The sequence below is a fragment of the Homo sapiens genome, chromosome 4, assembly GCF_000001405.40.
Source record: "Homo sapiens chromosome 4, GRCh38.p14 Primary Assembly".
NCBI lineage: Eukaryota > Metazoa > Chordata > Mammalia > Primates > Hominidae > Homo > Homo sapiens.
In genome coordinates this window covers 185,682,579-185,702,044 of record NC_000004.12, presented here as the reverse complement: position 1 = coordinate 185,702,044, position 19,466 = coordinate 185,682,579, and the positions used below count along the sequence as shown (strand labels likewise).

Sequence of the window (19,466 nt, the reverse complement as noted above, 5' to 3'; positions counted from 1 at the left end):
GTAATCCTAGCACTTTGGGAGGCCGAGGTGGGTGGATCAGGAGGTCAGGAGATCTAGACCATCCTGGCCAACATGGTGAAACCCCGTCTCTACTAAAATACAAAAAATTAGCTGGGCGTGCTGGCACGTGCCTGTAGTCCCAGCTACTCAGGAGGCTGAGGCAGGGGAATCACTTGAACCTGGGAGACAGAGGTTGCAGTGAGCTGAGATCACGCCACTTGCACTCCAGCCTGGCAACAGAGCAAGACTCCGTCTAAAAAAAAAAAAAAGAAAGAAATTTGCTAACTTTTTGGCCCATCCATTATTGTTTGCCCTCTCCCAATATGAGTGACATTTTCTTACCCTCTGCTCTGTGTTAGGAATGGCAGACAGCCAACATCCCAATAATAATAGTTCATGTTAACATTTTCTATGTACTATAGAAAAGCGATCACTCCACTCAAACATAATTAACTAGAATCAATGTAAATGCATGTGGTCCCAGCGTGGGTTCTGGATTTCCTTTACCAAATGCTGCAGCACAGATGACAAAGTGCTTTTACGCTCCATTATAAAAGAAGAAATGGAAATGAAGTCAGTAGGTATCAGATCAGAAGTCAGTGGGTATCTCTGTCCATGAAGATGTCCACACAGACATTCTCTACCTGTGGACCTGAAGGAGAACAGGCTGAGTCCCAGGGTAGAGTCGATGCGAACAAGAGGCCCAGGTTGGATCTGTAAGGTGATCCATGGCCCTGAGCATCATGGCAGACTACCCTGGAGCTAAAACCAGGCTGCCCTGAAAGAGTTCGTGTAGTTGGGAAGTCAAAAGGAAATTTTTCTGCTTTTCCAAGAGTGGCAAAAGTCCAAGATAAAAGAAAGAGTGTTGAGAGTTTATTTCTGTAGATAAAAGGGGGAGAAATGGCTAATAAAGATCAGACTGAGTAGGATTTCACTACATATGTTAAAATATGCCAACTAACAATCTCAAAAAGTGTTCTGATCATTTCTACCTTTAGCCAGTACGTCAAATAAGTTAGAGTATTATGAAACAACAAAAACTTTGTTCAAATAAGCTTCACTGTTCTCCACTGTGTAACTGTGGAATATAAATTTGTATTTGTATGTTGTTTTTCTTGCCTATTTTTGGTGGATTGAGTGAAAGTTTTAGCTTTAAATAGTGGCAGAGCATGAAGGACTATATTAGGTATGAAAAATGAAGAATGCTGGGAACATATGTGGGGGGTAAGAACTAGAAGTGAGGTCATCTGAGTTGGCATTTTGCTGAACAAAAGGGCAATAGACACCACATCCCATTTTGTTGTACAGTTCTGAAGTCTTAAACCCCTTATTTCTAGGATGGACTTGTTTTCATTCTTTCTGATGACAATTGTGAACCAGATGGTTAAAAACCCAGCACTGAGAAACAGTCTTATTTAGATATTATGTTTCTTAAATTCAGGTACATCTTGAGGGAATATTGAAGCTTCTAGCTGCAACTGTTATTTATACATCTTCTTGTCAATTTAAAGCATAAATTTGGTATATTTAAGAGCATTAACCCTAAGGGCCACTGGGATGAGTTCCACGAGATGAAAGAAAAAAATAAACCTCAAGTACATGTCAGTAACTTTTCCTGTTGCTGCTGGTAGTCACCTGGAAACTCACCATAGTGTCTCTACCATATCGTTCTGTGACCCTCCCCCCACCCAGCACAGCCTCCAAAGCCTGCCTAGAGACTCAAGTTCATGCCAGCCTGACTCACGCACAGACTCATGTGGACACTTTAAAAGTGAGGCAGCTGGAGCCCAATCTTCCTTGATTCATGAAACCACTGTTCATTTAGACATTGATTTAATTATATTTTTCAACAATTGCATTAAAGCCCTTAGACTTATTCCATATAAATTTTTGAAAAGCCAGTCTCTTCAACCTAATCATGAAATTTAGTTTAGCCAAATTTAATTCAGCCTGTCAAGATCATCTTTCTACTTATTACCTATTCCCCTCTCGTGTGTATGCCTTCTGCAGAATCAATAAACACACCACTTTGTTTTTCCCTAAAATAAAAATGTTGCAGACACAGTCGGAACAGGGTACTCCTCAAATTGAGTACCTTTTATTCACCTATGATTCTGCTTAACACTTGTACATTTAGTACATAGAGAAATGTAAAGAATTTTTTCAAATGTCTGAATAACAATGGAGCAGCAGTATATAAATATTAATAATACATTTCTGAATAATACATTTCCATTAAAATGGAAGATATCTGTCTTTATTGTCTACTTTTATTAGATCCCAAAGAATAATGTAATAAACTATCCACTGTTCAACACAAATATCAAAAGTTTCCAACTTTTAATGCATTCAAAATTTCTTCAGATGATATTTTTCCTCCATTGGCTTATTATTTTCTCGTTCAAATTTTCTAAAATGAATCAAACTGCCTTAAGATGTACAATTTAAGATACATTCTGGCCAGGCATGGAGGCTCACACCCATAATCCCAGCACTTTGGGAGACCAAGGCGGGCAGATTACCTGAGGTCAAGAGTTCGAGACCAGTGTGGCCAACATGGTGAAACCCCATTTCTACTAAAAATACTACAATTAGCCTGGCATGATGGCACACACCGGTAACCCCAGCTACTCTGCAGGATGAGGCAGGAGAATTGCTCGAACCTGGGAGGTGGAGGCTGCGGTGAGCCGAGATTGCACCACTGCACTCCACCCTGGCCAACAGAGCGAGACTCTGTCTCAAAAAAAAAAAAAAAAAAAAGGTACATTTCATTCTGGATAAACTTTGTAAGTAATGTATTACTTAAATTTTAAGACTATAAGATCAAATTAGAGCAAATTTTCCCCTGCCCCAAAATTTAAATTCCACATAGCAAGTGGGATTTCACCATTGCATATCTGAGACACATATAAACATGAATTTGTAATAATTCTGACAGTATATTCTGTCAAAAATTCTGACAAACCTTGACATTGCTAAAGTATATAAATGTTATTTCAGGTGCTCAGGAAACAGGTGTATTCAATCAGAAGAAAAGTGTGGCTTTTTAAGAACAGTGAATTAACAATAAGCAGGCTTATTTCACTGTAATACTTTCACCACGTAACATTACCATGAAAATAATTTAAAATAGATATACTTACTAACTGAAAATTCTAAGGATTTCAGAAAAAAAAAATCAATGGCTATTGGTCTAGGCTTAGACCAAGGAGGTCTAATATGCTTTGGGTTTAGTAGACCTGATTAACACTTTCCATTTGGACTTGTGCTGTGATTGGGCAAAAGGAATCCTTGTCATAATCAACCACTGTTTTCCTATTAGTCTTAGAGGAAGAAACATATGGTTCTATGTTAACAGTTCTTATTTTATTTATCAAACAGTTTTGCCTTCTACCACACCGTCTTCTCATATTTTGTTCTTTTCCCTAACCCCTGCCTCATATGATTCAGTACTTAATTAAGCAGGGTACTGTAATATTTTAAAGGGAAAGAGCTTGATTTCCTATGTTGTTTTTCTGTTTTGTGTTTTGTTTTGTTTTGTTTCATTTTTTTGAGATGGAGTCTTGCTCTGTCACCCAGGCTGGAGTGCAATGGTGCGATCTCGGCTCACTGCAACCTTCGACTCACTGCAACCTCCACCTCCCAGCTTCAAGCCATTCTCCTGCCTCAGCCTCCCACGTAGCTGGGACTACAGGCATGTGCCACCATGCCCGGCTAATTTTTGAATTTTAGTAGAGGCAGGGGTTTCGTCATGTTGGCCAGGCTGGTCTCGAACTCCTGACCTCAAGTGACCCTCCTGCCTCGGCCTCCCAAAGTGCTGGGATTACAGGCGTGAGCCACTGCGCCTGGCCAAGATCTTGATTTCAAATGACGTTTTAAGATTCCTTAAAGGAGGATGCCTATTATTTGCTAGGAGTCAGGAGAGATGAACTACTTTTGAGTATCTGCTTGGGGCATCCATTTATCTTATCCTCAAATGTCTAACCCTAAAAATGAGTTGGTTGATCTCAATCCCTACCAGAGCCTTTGATGCTTGCTTCTACTTAAAGTCTAAGTATGAGACATGCAAAACTAGACTAGATTACATAATTCTTTTGATATCAGATGATTTTTATATTTCAATATATAAAAATTAAAACGGAAGATTTTAAAATTAAAAGCAGTGAGAAACTTAGCAAAGCATAAAATTTTAAAAAATGGTTCTTTAAAAAGATCAAGGCTTTTCTCCTCAAAATAGAAATGTGTGCTTCTCAGTACAAGGTGGGAAATCAGAGGCACTTTCCCTTATTGAATTAAGCAGGAGTAGGCTGCCATCAGGATGTTATCACTCTGCAATTTGTCACACAATTTGTTATGTGACATTTTATAGACATCTCTTTCCATTCAGCCATCGCTTTCGGCTATCAGCTGTCAAAGGGAAAGAGAATGATTTTTTTAAAAAAGCTAATCGTCAAAACCTTTATAGTGTCACTTTCCCTTAGATCCAGTAGCATTGTCTATAGCTGGGCTAGAAGGCAAGGGTTTGATTCAACTATTTTCTTAGGTTTTCTCTTGTTCATGGCAATGTGTGGGGGGGAAAATCTTAGCTAAATAAAGGATCTTTTTAAGGAAGAAAGAAAGCTGCCTGGAAAGTAGAATTCCTTTTCAATTCCAACATGTTGCTAAGCTGGGTGTGGGACAATTGGGAGACGGGAAAATCCATAGAAATCAGTCTAATAAACCATATGGCTTGCTTCAATCTAAAGCAATACAATAATGCCCCATGTATTTTCAGGAAAGTCTAGATTATCTTCTTAAGACTCAATCAAAGGTAAAGATCTGCTTCAAAATATTTGAAATATTAGTGAATGGGAATAATGCCAGTTTGCCAGATTGGGGATGCTTTGCTGTCTAGCGGGGGAGTCGATGATAATGACATTGGTATAAATTGTTCGGATGCATAGAAATGGGCAGAACTGGGATTTGAGTCAAGCTTTGCCTATTTCTTGACCCATTCTTCCAACGCTATTCAGTTTGCCTATACATGTGTTATAGGGATATTCTAATTAATTCCTCACATGTCTCTTTGATAAGGTGCCTGACTTATGAGATCCTCAGTCAGAATCTGAATTATTTTCATTAGAAATTTTTTTGGCTTTTGATTTGCACATTATAAGCCAATGGAATTCTCCTAATACTGTACTATCAAGTTGAACAAATGACTTAGTCTTAGAAAAAAGATGCACTTGAAAATACTTAGATGTTGTTCCGTAATGATCCCTAAGATTACAATATAAAACTAAGGAACTCCATGAAAGTAGGGTGGCTAGGCACAGTGACTCACACCTGTAATCCTAGCACTTTGGGAGGCCGAGGCGGGTGGATCACTTGAGGTCAGGAGTTCGAGACCAGCCTGGCCAACATGGTGAAACCCTGTCTCTACTAAAAATACGGCATGGTGGTGCATGCCTGTAATCCCAGCTACTCGGGAGGCTGAGGCAGGAGAATCACTTGACCCCGGGAGGCAGAGGTTGCAGTGGGCAAGATCGCATCATTGCACTCCAGCCTGGGCAACAGAGTGAGATTCCACCTAAAGAAAAAAAAGAAAGTAAGGTGCTGGACCAATGTTAAGTCACATGACCATTTAAAGCAAATAGTGAAATGAGTGATTCACCAACTTTGAGACCTTGGAATAACATCAGAAGGAATCATTTACCAGGTGATCAACTTCTAATCAGTAAAGTCTTTAGGGAAAATTGATAAGTATTTTGAACAGCTTACATTGTAAAGTCTCAAAAGGAAAATTGCTAGTTTCCTTGGAAGACATATAGTGCTCTTTTTTCAGGAAATTTTTCCAAATATCAGGACATTTGGTCTAATTAAAACTAACACTCCGCGTATTCTCATAAAAAATTATCAACGGCCTCATGTTCATTTATTTCTTTATTATTTGTGGTAATAATGTCTCCTTATTCCTAGAAATGATGTTGAATGTGTTCTGGCCTCAGCATAGATAAATAGATGCCGCGGGTAATTCGGCTCCTGAATAATAAGGAACATTTTCAGGCACTGTTAGCACAGGAGTTCTGGGAGGTACTTGGTGTTCTTATGAGCATGGACAGTCATGCCGCTACTGTTGACTTGTGTGCCACCCACTCAGGCAGAGGAGTCTCTGAGCCAATTTAGAGAAACTAGTCAGAAGAGAGTTTCTAAACTCACAAAACAAACTACTTGGAGTTTTCATGTGACTATTTCAAAGCAGCATGTTGACATATAGGAAAGATAGGTGAAGATAAATGTCAACCTGAATTAAGTCATTTGACTATAATAGAAAAGTGAAATCACTTGGCATTTATGAATACTTCTTATTTTACCACAGTCAGAGATAGAGAGAGATGCATTAATACATTGATCACTTAGGGCAGTTTATCCAAAGAGAGTGCTACAAATGATCCCATTTCAAAATAAATAAGTAAATTCAAGTTAAAATCTGGTGCATAACCTTAATATGATTGTATTTTTATGTTCATGTTTAAAATACATCTCTTTAAAAAAAAAAACTAACATCCTGCAATGTTTTCCTACTACTTAAACATCAATATGTCCTTTTTTGAATAATATATGAACTGTGAATATGTTAATTTCAAAATAACAGTAGCAATGTATTGGCTTAAGGTTCGTCTGTGGAAAATCTTTTGGGCAACTCCTCCCATTAACTGAGCTAAAATTCAGTCCTGTAGTTTCATACATGGTCTTGGTGCTTAAATTCAGGTCTACAAAAATAAAATGACCTACATAGAATTCTTAGCCAAAACTGGGGAAAGGATTTTGTCTCTGCTGCTCTTCAGAATGGGATGCCTGATAATCAAAACAATTCAAGCAGAATTATGAGACAACAGGCACAAAGGCATGTTCATGCCCATGCAGGATCAAACTCCTTAGGATCCTCTTTCAAAAGTTAAATTACCCATTCTATTCTCTTATACGTATTGAGAACACAGCCTGCTCTGATTCCGAGAAAAATGAGATGTCTGATAATCCAAAGAAATTCAAGCAGAATTGGCCAGGCGTGGTGGCTCACATCTGTAATCCCAGCACTTTGGGAGGCTGAGGCGGGAGGATCACAAGGTCAGGAGTTTGAGACCAGCCTGACCAACATGGTAAAACCCCGTCTCTACTAAAAATACAAAAATTAGCCAGGCGTGATGGTGCACGCCTGTAATTCCAGCTACTCAGAAGGCTGAGGCAGGAGAATCCTTTGAACCCAGGAGGTGGAGGTTGTAGTGAGCCGAGATCATGCCACTGCCCTCTAGCCTGGGCGGCAGAGTGAGACTCCGTCTCAAAAAAAAGAAAAGAAAAGAAAGAAAAGGAAAAAGAAAAAGAAAAAAAAGAAATTCAAGCAAAATTAAAAGACTATAGACCCGAAGTCATGCTGTTTACAGCCCTTCCATGAACAATCAACACAATCTATTGCCATATGTATTTTGACAGTGGAGGCTACTCTAATCCATAAGTAAAACCAATCCATTGTTGTCACAAATTAGGACACATATGAAGTTGCTTTTTATATGAAACTTTGACAAAAGTAAACACAATCCCCTAGCACCTATTGAAAATCATGCTGACACCTTCATGTTCGGAGACTTCTTTGCTCCGTGGATTGTCTGCTAAGGCTCAAGGTAGTCTCCATGTTATGGTCAGTTCTCATAGTCTCGTCCCTGGTTCAATTCCAAGTTAAGAGAATACTTGAGATGCTGTTGTCTAGCAGCATGCAAAGACTCTAGGAATTTGATGCTTTCCAGAATAATCTGTGCTTGTTATGTAAGTACAATCAAGGACACTTTTTCAGAGCAGAACAAAAGAGATTAGATTCGCTTTAGTTTGAACTGTCTAAAGAGAGTTCTCAGTCGTGGATTTGTTAATGGACTTAGCACAAATAAGGGAAATAGAATCGTGCATTTTTATTAGTCACCCAAGAAGCCTTTCGGTTTCAGGTTCTTCTTGAGAGCTCAATCACTGGGATTCTTCTTTTAACGACTTGGAAAATGTCTTGCTTGATTAGGAAGTTAGTCATTTCACATTTTGACATCTAAAACAATGGGAAGTTAAAAAGCCTCACAAATTACATTTATAAGTAACAGGATACATCACTTTAAAGATGAAAACCTCAAGGATTTGTGGCGCCTTTCTTTGTTCTCGTTAATCCTATTTTACTTTTTGAGTGTTAGATATTCTGTAAATATCGGCATTTGAATTCAAACAATAGGTGTTGATAACTAGTTCTCTAACTTGGTACAAAAACATTATTATTGTCTGTCAGCAGATTTTGTATTCTGAGAGTTAACCTTCTGTATTTGATGTTTTCTTTGTCAATCACTATTATTCTAGCCCGAATACTGTCTTCCTCATTCCGTTTTAAAACCTTAAGCAGTTGTAAGCACAGCGTTGCCTGGTTTCAAAAGGAATGAAGAAGTCGAATTTGGGAAAGGTCCTCATAATCCTCATTTTCTGGAGGTTGTTTATCCCTTCTTGTTTTAGAAGTTGCCTCAGTCTCAGTCACAGACATCCCCTGAGGCTTTTCTTTTCCATTTATTTTGTCCATTTAAGGTTAACATATTAGGAGTTTTGCTACCAAGAGCTACCGAGAGATTAAACTAAATACGTTTGAAGGAGCTTTCCCAAAGCTCCTGTGCTGGCCGCTGCCCTCTTCCCTGACTTCATCGGTATCCCTCAATACAGGCGGTCTTAAGGCTACCAAGCTGAGTTTTTAGAAATACGCCACATTTTTTCTGTGTAATTCTGGAGAAGAACAAAACAAAAAAGTAAAACAGAAATGTGCCTGTTTAGTTGCATACACTGAAAAATAGGAGATAAAATTCACCATCATAAAATTTCCCTCAATCATTTTTCAGAGTCTGTTGGCCTATGAAATGCCCCAGTGAAGTTCCCCATAACCCTGTGGAAACTCAGTTCTAGCCTGGCCACGCTAAGCATGGCTCCTGCCCTGCTCCCTACACTGCAATGATGCCCAGGGCAGACGGACAACGATATGACACTGAACACAGACCACACAAAAATTAAACACCATATAGTAAGGATATCGTCTATATTGTTTTCAGCGTAGAGCTCTAAAAACATATACTGAGGTGATTATCAGTACTGTGATTTTACCTATTTTAAATGTTCATTAATTTAGCATTTATTGAGTCCTAAGGTATTAGTAATTCAATCTAGGCAAATATACGTGTGTGTGTGTATGTGTGCACATATACATGTGTATATAGCAAAACGAGGATTACACTATACATATATATCTATATATAAAATCTTGCTTTATAATTATATTTCATAGGACTTAAGTGTATTTTTAATGTTATTTTCTTTCATCATTTTCCCCCCACTGGGAGAGAAGTACCATTATATTTAGCTAATATTCACATTTTGATTTTATTATTATAATTTTTCATCAGTAATGAACAAAGCCAGGCTTTCCAAAAGAGGTGAACTCCAATAGCCACATTGAAAGAAAATAATAGTTGTGAGTTGAGCAGAGGAAATGGTCAGAAGGGAGAAGAGGGTGAGAACCTTGGCAGACAAAGGCAAGAAAGCCAGGAAGCTCATTTGCTGCTCTTTTTAGAGACTAAAAAATCTTTATTTATCAAAAGTCTTTCTTGACAGGTGATCATGCCAATGATTTCATTTCAAATTTATCCTCATTCATCCAAAAGGAATAAATAAAATTCTTGAAAATGTTCGGATGTTGCAGTACTGATGCGCCTGGAAGCTGTGAGTGTGTTGTGCTGTGCGGGGGGGTTCTTGTGGATACTCAACAACAGGCCCACTCAGGAGCAAAGGCCAAGTGGCCGGGGTCAGACAGCTCTTGCAGGGAGCTCTTGGACTTAGGAGATTTGCTACCTTATCAGCGTGTCTTTCCTCTTTGGTTTCAGGGTATGGGTAAATAAGAAACTCCATAAATGGGCTAAGAGAATATGCCAGAGAAAGAACTAAGTCATCTCACATGTCATAAAACGATACACAATATTTAAAACCTTTTTCTTTGGGAGGCCGAGGCGGGCGGATCACAAGGTCAGGAGATCGTAGCCATCCTGGCTAACATGGTGAAACCCTGTCTCTACTAAAAATGCAAAAAGAAATTATCCGAGCGTGGTGGCGGGTGCCTGTAGTCCCAGCTACTTGGGAGGCTGAGGCAGAAGAATGGCGTGAGCCCGGGAGGCAGAGCTTGCAGTGAGCCGAGATCGCACCACTGCACTCCAGCCTGGGCGACAGAGCGAGACTCATCTCAAAAAAAAAAACTTTTTTCTGAGACAACCCCTTTCTGCCAACCGTTTCTAGCGAATTAATCTCAATTGCTTTGCATCCAACATTTCACTGGGAAAAATCAGCATTCAATACTAATGCAGAGATGGATTTTGTAGTGACCATCTATTTCCTGTGTCTTTAAAAAAGAGAAAGATGAATCTCATCTTTCTTGACAGTGTCCTGAAAATATGCGTTACATTCATTACATATTCCCCGGTAGTCAACTGACCTGCACATGTAAGGCAATGATTTTAAAGTGCCAGGGTCACTTTTAAAACTCTGGAAGAGGACACTTAACAGGCAATCATTTCAGGCTTAGAGAACAAAAACCATTTGTATAAATATTTGTAAAAGAAATTTAATTTTTTAAAAGGAAAACTCAACCAGGCACGGTAGTTCACACCTGTAATCCCAGCACCTTGAGAGGCTGAGGTGGGAGGATGGCTTGAGCCCGGGAAATTAAGGCCACAGTGAACTACAATCACACCAACTGCACTCCAGCCTGGGTAACAGAGCACAACCCTCTCTCTAAAAAAGAAACAAACAGGCCGGGCACGGTGGCTCACGCCTGTAATCCCAGCACTCTGGGAGGCCGAATCAGGTGGATCACGACGTCAGGAGTTCAAGAGTAGCCTGACCAACATAGTGAAACCCCGTCTCTATTAAAAATAGAAAAAAATTAGCTGGGTGTGGTGGCATGTGCCTGTAATCCCAGCTACTTGGGAGGCTGAGGCAGGGGAATCGCTTGAACCCAGGAGGCAGAGATTGCAGTGAGCCAAGATCGCACCACTACACTGTGGCCTGGGCGACAGTGGCGGACTCTGTCTCAAAAAAAAAAAGAAAGAAAAAAAGAAAAACAAGCACAAAACGTCTCCATTTTCATCCATTAATGCTCACCATTAAACAAAAGCATAAAAACAGAATATGTCTGTTTTATGAGCATGGGACCAATAATTAAAGTTTAACATGAACAGAATTATAAATTCTTCCTACCTTATTAAACACTGATTTAAATAAGACTAATGATAATGTGATATTAACTTACAGGTACATCAAAAACAAAAATGCGACACACTTTCATGATATTTTCTTCCACATGCTAGTGAACAATTATGCACCATTTTTTTCCTACAGGAAAACTGAAGACTTTAATAACAAACTCTCCAAGGTGAAAATGAACACAGGTATGCTGTCTGTTAGTTTTAAACTCTTTTAGCCTTGCTCTCTAAAAATCATGTTGGCCCTAAATCATTAGTTTAGCACTCTTCTGATCCTAAATGTGATTCTGAGTTTCTGATTAGATACATAGCATAGATTCATTACTTTCTTTCTTTGTATTTGTGCCCCACTCTTATAGCCACCAAACATAGAATTTTCTCTTCTATTACTTGCTCCTACTCCCTTTTTCTCTAATCACATGTTAAAACTAACTCCTATAAACAATAGGAAGAGGTAGTATGTCGTTTGTTTGTGTACTTTTGAAATCTCTCACTTAAAAATAGGCTAAATTCAAAGGCAAGTTGCTCTAGAAGAAAATATTCAAACTTACCTGTTCTATAAACTCTTTATGTTGAAGAAGTCAGCAGATAGAGTGCCAAAGTTTTATACAAAATCAGCTTAATTAACCTATAGTCACAATTCCCATAGTGTTATAAGCATTATATGTGTAGATGTGAGAGTAGTATCTCCAAATAACTTAACAACTGTGTCTCTAAACTGTATTGTCTACATTTTAACTGTAAAAGTGTTCATGATACATGCTTTGTACATATGAACTTTTTTCCACAGTAGAAATAATTTGGCTTATAATTTTGCCTTCCCCCCACCTTGAAATATACAATACAAAGTAATTCAAGAAACAACTTTCTCGTTGAAATTTTGTAACTTGTGTTTAAACGATACCATTTCCTATCCACAAGTGATCACTGGAAAGTTGTTTGAGCCGTCGCGCCATGGCAGAGTAGAAAGGATGGCCCAAGATATTCTCTCATGTCCAGCTGGTTGCCTTTTTGAGGTCTCTTGTTGCATCAAGTGCTACAAGGAGGATTACCCAGCCACTGGCGAGGACCAATACCTAATCCCCAGGTCGAGTGCAGAGCCTTGCGTCATGTGCCATGTGCCGTAGTGGCCTCAGAGAAGGCTGTGCGGGCGGGCTCCTGGGGATGCAGTCACCTTGCAGACATGTGGACAACAGGCAAGATGAGGATACTGGAGACAGTCAAAACACACAAGGAAGGCTCAGCAATCAAGAGAAGTTATAACCCTGCATATGCACCACACAAAGGCAACTTGATGATTGGAGATGTCAGAAGTAGACATGGGGAATGAAGTAGAAAATATTAGCAGGTAAAGGAGACAGAAGAAAGCAAATAGAATGTAGAGCCCACAGCTGGACTAGCATCAGCCATGTTTTGGAGCTACAAAGTCACTCCAGCAGAAGTTCCACATGAGGAAGTGATATTTCCTGATCCTTCCAAGACATTTCCCTGTAGACTTAAGTGGATCATAACTCCCAGTATTCCTCATTTTACTGAGTGCTGATTTTCCTATTTATTATAACACTATTATGACAGGGATATGCATACATGATATACTGAATATGCTGTGTTGATGGGCAGTACACTCAATAATTAACCTTCCTATTCATATAATTCAATCCCTCATAGCAAAATAAGCACATACAAATTTGTAAATTTGTTTAAGTCACTAAGGTACTTGACCCAAGTTACTGCTTAGCAGCATAAATGTAACCTTCTAAAGCATCTTCTCATTTCTAAGGAGTAAGCTTGACTCTGGATGGGATGCAATTTGTATAGGATTATTTTGCTTATTTGGATGAACTTCCACTTAATGTATAATGATTGGAAAATATGGTATTCAAACATATGCATAAAATTGATCAAAAGTGACTGAAAACTTTTGCTCAAAATTCCAAAATAATAATTATAATGTTTTTATAAAAACATACCACTTTTAAATATATATGTATATATATACACACATATATTGCCTTAGGAATTTGAAAGCATTGTTACTGTGTTTACAAAATGAAGTAGGAATTTGTTCCTAAAGAGCTAGTCAATAAAACTGGCCTGCATTATCTATCTACAGATAGACAGATGATGATAGATAGATAGATAGATGAATAAAGTGGCCCCACAAGTTATTTTTCTCATCCCCAAAATAGCTTCTAGCTCTTCTGACTTTTTTGTCTATCTATCTATCTATCTATCTATCTATTTATCTATCTATCAATAGACAGATAGATAATGCAGATAATATATGGATAGACAATGCAGATAATCTATATAGATAAATAATACAGGCCAGTTTTATTGATATATATATCAATATTCATTTAAACAGGAATATATCTCTTTATTGATAGATATATCTATCCAATATATCAATCATTAAAAATATATATTCCTATTTAAATCTTCATGTGTTGGTCACCACGGCTAAAAAGCATTCTTTTAAGTTAAGTATTTGCTTTTAATCAGTGCATAATAAACTAGCCATGGGGAATGTGGTTAATTTTTCATACTAAAGTGTCTAAACAATGTAGAAAATATATACAAAACATGTTATATGTCCACTTTTAGAATGTTTAACACATTACTTTCTTAGGCATATCTTAGCTATTGAAGAAAGGAGAGAAGGAAAGACATCAAATAATTATCCATCTATAATTTACCCATATGAGGGGTTTCCAGCAGTAGGAACAGCTTCCAGGAATCTTGCAGCTCAGGGGAAGAGTAGCCTAGCAAGGCTGCAGGTCATTAATGAGGACAAAAGGCAAGACCAGCGTTAGGATTCTTTAGGATAAACTGACACATGAAAGGTAGCATCCTTGTTTTAAGATCTTAAAAATATCTTCAAGGAGTATCAGAAAGTATCAATACAAAAGGAAGTAGAAACACAATATAATAGATCATTCTGTTCCAGCAATTTTACAAATGCCTCAAGTTTTAGAATTCAGCCCTTTATTAAACTTTATTAAAGACAGAGCCTCCATTTATTTCATCTAAGACTTAGAGCTTCCTAAAATACATAAATTGTCTAACCCAAGGATTCCCAAACTTTCTTGTTTTACAGTGACCTTTAATGTCTCAGTAATTTCTTCACTGTGCTCCTAGGTCAAAAATATGTAACACTTCTATTTATTAAGTAGTTAGGTGCTAACAACTTAATAACTTAATAATTACTTTATAAATACTTTGTTCTAACAACTTAGAAGCCATTTGACAGAACAGTACACATAAATTGAAAGAAAATAGTTTTATTTCTTTCTTTATAACAAGAATTACTTACTAATATTATGTGTGTGCCTGTTGCACACTGAAAAATTTCTCAGACCTTAGAATTCGATTGTACATGACCACTCTCATTTACTGATCTAAAATGATTTACAGGCCAGACAGTCACGGTGGCTCACGCCTGTAATTCCAGCATTTTGGGAGGCTGAGCCAGGAGGATCGCTTGACCCCAGGTGTTGGAGACAAGCCTGGGCAACATAGTGAGACCCTATCCCTGTAAAAATTTTAAAAATTAGCTGGGCGTGGTGGCATGTGCCTGTAATCCCAGCTATGAGGGAAGCTGAGGTAGGAGGATCAGTTTGAGCCCAGTAAGGTCCAAATGCATCACTACACTCCAGCCTGGGCAACAGAGCAAGACCCTGTCTCTAAACATAAATAAATAAAATGTTCTTCAGATGGTACTTGCTTTTTATCATAGCAAGTATCAAAATCCCAGTTTTTCCAAAATATGATGTCATCAAAAGGAATATAGCGCGTCTATTATGTTGAAACCAGGCACTGCCCCAAGCAAGTAGTTCATTGAGTGTCCAACAGTTAGCACTGTGTTTTCCTTAAAAACAGGAACTACCCCCCAACACCCTCATGAATGCACCAGTGCAGCCCAGGGCATCGCAGCCCACAGTTTGAACACCAGAGATTTAACCTGTGACCCTGGATCTTCTCATTCTGGAATTTTCTCTTTTCACCTATGTGCTTGTGAGATGTTCAGAATTAACAGAACTAGGAAATAAAATCACTCTTAGAGTGATGTCAGTTTTTACTTTCAACACCTTTGACTACACAACCATTTCAACCAGTTTCCAGCTCCTGGAAGCAATAACATCACCTCCATCTTATCAGACGCACTTGTCTCTAAGCACTTTCAGTTTGCTGAGTTCGCTAAAATCCTTTTGGAGCCTTTCCTGAAGGAATCTTCAGTTGTTTCTCCCATTTGTGTCACTTTCTTTGGGTTCTTAATTATAACCTTTGATTTATTTGGTTCATTTTCTTTTAATATTCTTTCAAGTTGGTTTTCTGGTTTAATGATTTTCTACATTAAGAAATTGTTACTTTAAACATATACTTTAAAAAAGTGAAGTAAGAATCACTCCACTGCTTTTAAGTTCTATTAATCTTACTATTTATAAATTTTATGAAAAATTCCTTCAAATTATACTTCCGAGCATCTTTACCAATCTAAATTCTGTCATGTCCAATAAACAAACTTGATACTTTCCTTATGAAAATAAAGAAAAAGGAAAAATGGAAATGTGACAATATATAATGATTATATTATTATATCGGTGGTTATATTGTCTTTTTTTATAACTTTCAAAAAGATTTAATTTAATTTGGTTTTACTCAATAAGCAGAATGAGGAGAATGAGCAAAACTATTTATTGCCATGCCATATTACAGAGGAATGTAAGAATGGAATTTGAATCTGGTCATAAATAGAACATTGGCCTTCCAATTTTAAAAGACTTCTCTTCCAAATTTAGAAGTCTAAACTTCTCATAGCACATTAAAATGGCTGATGAACTTACACTGATTTTATTTCACATTATGACTTGCATAAGTTTAAAGATATGAATCATAGTACACATATTGTTAAAAGTATAAAAGCAATAAATGAGGCCAGGTGCGGTGGCTCATGCTTGTAATGGGAGGCCGAGGCGGAAAGAGCCCTTGAGCCAGGGAGTTTGAGACCAGCCTGGGGAACACAGCAAGACCACATCTCTACAAAAAGTTAAAACGTTAGCCGGTGTGTGCCTGTGGTCCTAGCTACTCAGGAGACTGAGGCAGGAGGATTGCTTGAGCGCAGGAGGTTGAGATGGCAATGAGCTGTGATGGTACCACTGCACTCCAGCCTGGGTGATGGAGCAAGACTCCGGCCCTAAAAATAAAAATTTAAAAAGTAAAAGCAATATACTCCTTTCTTTAAACATGGTCATTTCGATACCATATATATCAATACTTTTATTTTAATAAGGCTAGTTATTTGCATAACTAACACTAACTACAGGAAGAGTGGACTTTCCATGATGCCATGTGTTCCTCTATGAATCCTAAAAAAATGTATCATACCTGTGTCACTAATAATTTTTACTGCAAGAATTATTCAAGCTCTCTTTGGGAATTATAACAGCTAGAAGATGGTAAAACTTAAATGATATTAACTTAAAAGTATGTTGTACCATAGCCTTTAATCCTGACATGGAGCTAATCCTTGACTCTAAAAGCCAGATCCAGTGCTTATAGATTTAGTATAAATTGAATTTAAATGGTATAAACAAAGTTGAGTTCTGTGCCTGAGTTTTCACAAAGAAAACCATAAAATGTTAAGTATTAAGTCTTCCATGCTTTCACTAAAACAGTGATACCTATTTCTAAGACAGATCCCTGGTCTTCTTTTGTTTTGTTTCGTTTTGTTTGTTTTAGTTTGAGGGTGGTGTGAAATTGGCAGGTGCATTCCATGATTACTAATTCTAACTGTTCATCTTTCTCATGGATGTCTGGCACATTTCTCTTAAAACGCATGATATTGCACGTGCTTTTCCCGTTGCCTTGGCCTCTGCTATATCATTTTTTTGCTTCCAGATAGCGGTGGGTGTGCTCGCAAACGTGCCGCCATGTCTGTTACGCTAACATCTGTGAAGAGAGTGCAAAGTTCTCCAAACCTATTGGCTGCAGGTATAATATCACTAACTCACACAATGTCGCACTTGAATGGCTTCTAGCTCTTCTGACTGTTTTTGTTCTAAACGTAAAAAGCAAAGGAAAATGAGATCTTGTAGGAAACATTTTAAATGTGTAATTAAAAACAGCAGTCACTTGCCAAAAATAGGTTGAGTAACTGCGAGTGTTAATAACTATTCACGTTTTTGTTATCTCATGAACTTAAGTAGCATAATATTTCATTAAGATAACTCAGAGGTTTTGGGGTTTTTTTTTTTAACCTAAAAACTTTTGGGGTAGGGGTACAGGGGTACAGGATGAAAAAAGGGATTTGTAGGAAACTGAATCTTCATTAACTGGATTCTTTGTCAAAGGTTGTGAACAGAATGATAGAACATTAGTTTTGAAAGAGACCTTTGCTTTCCTTTAATCCAATCAGCAAATACCCTTCTACTATATATATTTAAACATACCAAAATCTTGACCAATTAAGATTCACATGTACCCACAGATAGGAAGTCACTGGGGGTGCGAGATTTCAGCATCCACTCAGGTGGTCTCTTTTTAATAAATCTCTGTTGTGACTACCTAAGCCACAGTACCGAAGTTAGGCACAGTACCTAAGGCACAGTCTGCACTGGGAGGGGGTGCAGCTGTTAGAAGGTCAAAGGGAGGCCAGCAAGCCCAGTGCCTCCAGACCCTGAAATAGACCCACACCTGTTGGTGATGGGTTGGTTGGTGGGTTGGTTGGTTGGTTGGCTGGTTGGTTAGCTGCAGTTTGGGGACTGCTTGTTTTTTATTTATAAGATTAATGGGTCTTACAGCAGAAGTGAGAAAGGGATGGGGCATCTTTAAATAATTTTAATTCTCATTATGCATATCACAGTCTTCTACACACATACATCTAGAAGTTGATTAAATACTCAGGGTGTTCTTCGCTTTACAGCCACTTAATTCTAAACTACTGAGTTTTTCTTGAGAAAAAAAAATGAACTTCCATATGCAGAATCCCACTTCCGTTCACCACCTCTAATCCACAAATGGATTTCAACGTCCAAGTTTAAATGCCAGGCTAGTGAGTTCAGTTATATATTAAGTTAAAAGAAAATGCAAGATGCATTGCAAGGTTTATAGTATGACCTCATTTTGGTTAAAAAAAAATCTCTATACAAATCTCTATTTGTATGTAGTGGCTCATGCACGTATGAACATAAAAAGGTGTTAGAAAAACTACAGATGTATTTACCTTGGATACCATGAGAAACAGGAATGAAGGCAAGTAAGACAATAACCGTAAGAGTTCAGGGCCATCGTGTAATTGGAATGCCAATACCCTGAATGTCATTGACATTTCAACCAAATAGGATCTCAGTCCAACCTACTCAGACGTGAACCTTGACGCACGTACCAGGGAACGCCACACTGCTTCCACAGTGCCCATGTGGAGAGTCGAAACTGAACTACATGCAATTTCATATAACTCGACTTCATAGAAAAGATTTAATGCTTCGGAATTACAACAGCAAAAAAGAAAAAAAAAACATTTCACACTTTAGGAATATGAAATAATCTTCAGTAATAACAATGTAGCTTTGGGCTATTTTAAGTTTTCTATCACTAGGCATATGATTTCTAGAGAATGAAGTCCACTGAATTTTGGACATAATTGTTTAAAAACAGCCCTCTTTTGTGTCAATTAGACGTAAAGTAAGATCCCTTTTTCTTTTTCTTTTCTTTTCTTTTTTTTTTTTTTTGAGACGGGTGGGTCTTGCTCTGTGCCCAGGCTGCAGTGCTGTGGCACGATCTTGGCTCACTGCAACCTCTGCCTCCCAGGTTCAAGCATTCTCCTGCCTTAGGCTCCTGAGTAGCTGCGATTACAGGTGCCTGCCACCATGCCTGGCTAATTTTTGTATTTTTTTTAGTAGAGACCTGGTTTCACCATGTTGGCCAGGCTGGTCTCAAACTCCTGACCTCAAGTGATCCGCCCGCCTCAGCCTCCGAAAGTGCTGGGATTACAGGCCTGAGCCACTACACCTGGCCCCCTTTTTCAAAGAAGCTTCCATTATATTTTTGAATAAAGAAGTTAGCATTAATATGCACAACTGCATTCTATGTAGCTTTCATAAGAACTTATATGATACAGTGTCTATATGTGAATCAAAAGGGAATTGATAAATATTTATTGCCTTC

At 38.1% G+C, this 19,466-nt stretch overlaps 1 protein-coding gene across 38 annotated transcripts in view; it reads left to right on the top strand.

The window, feature by feature from the left end:
• Window positions 1-19,466, top strand: part of SORBS2 (sorbin and SH3 domain containing 2) — a 370,850-nt gene that overhangs the window by 254,328 nt on the left and 97,056 nt on the right. For 13 of the 38 annotated variants that reach the window (NM_001394255.1, NM_001394262.1, NM_001394248.1 and 10 more), the window contains exon 3: window positions 17,199-17,291. The exons of 13 other annotated variants lie outside the window; for them this stretch is intronic. In NM_001394255.1, coding sequence (NP_001381184.1) covers window positions 17,231-17,291 — 61 coding nt within the window. In that variant the 5' untranslated portion in view covers window positions 17,199-17,230. Of the gene's footprint in view, window positions 1-11,433; window positions 11,484-17,198; window positions 17,292-19,466 lie in introns of all 38 variants that reach the window. 12 more of the 38 variants (NM_001270771.3, NM_001394252.1, NM_001394251.1 and 9 more) reach the window with 3 other exon arrangements.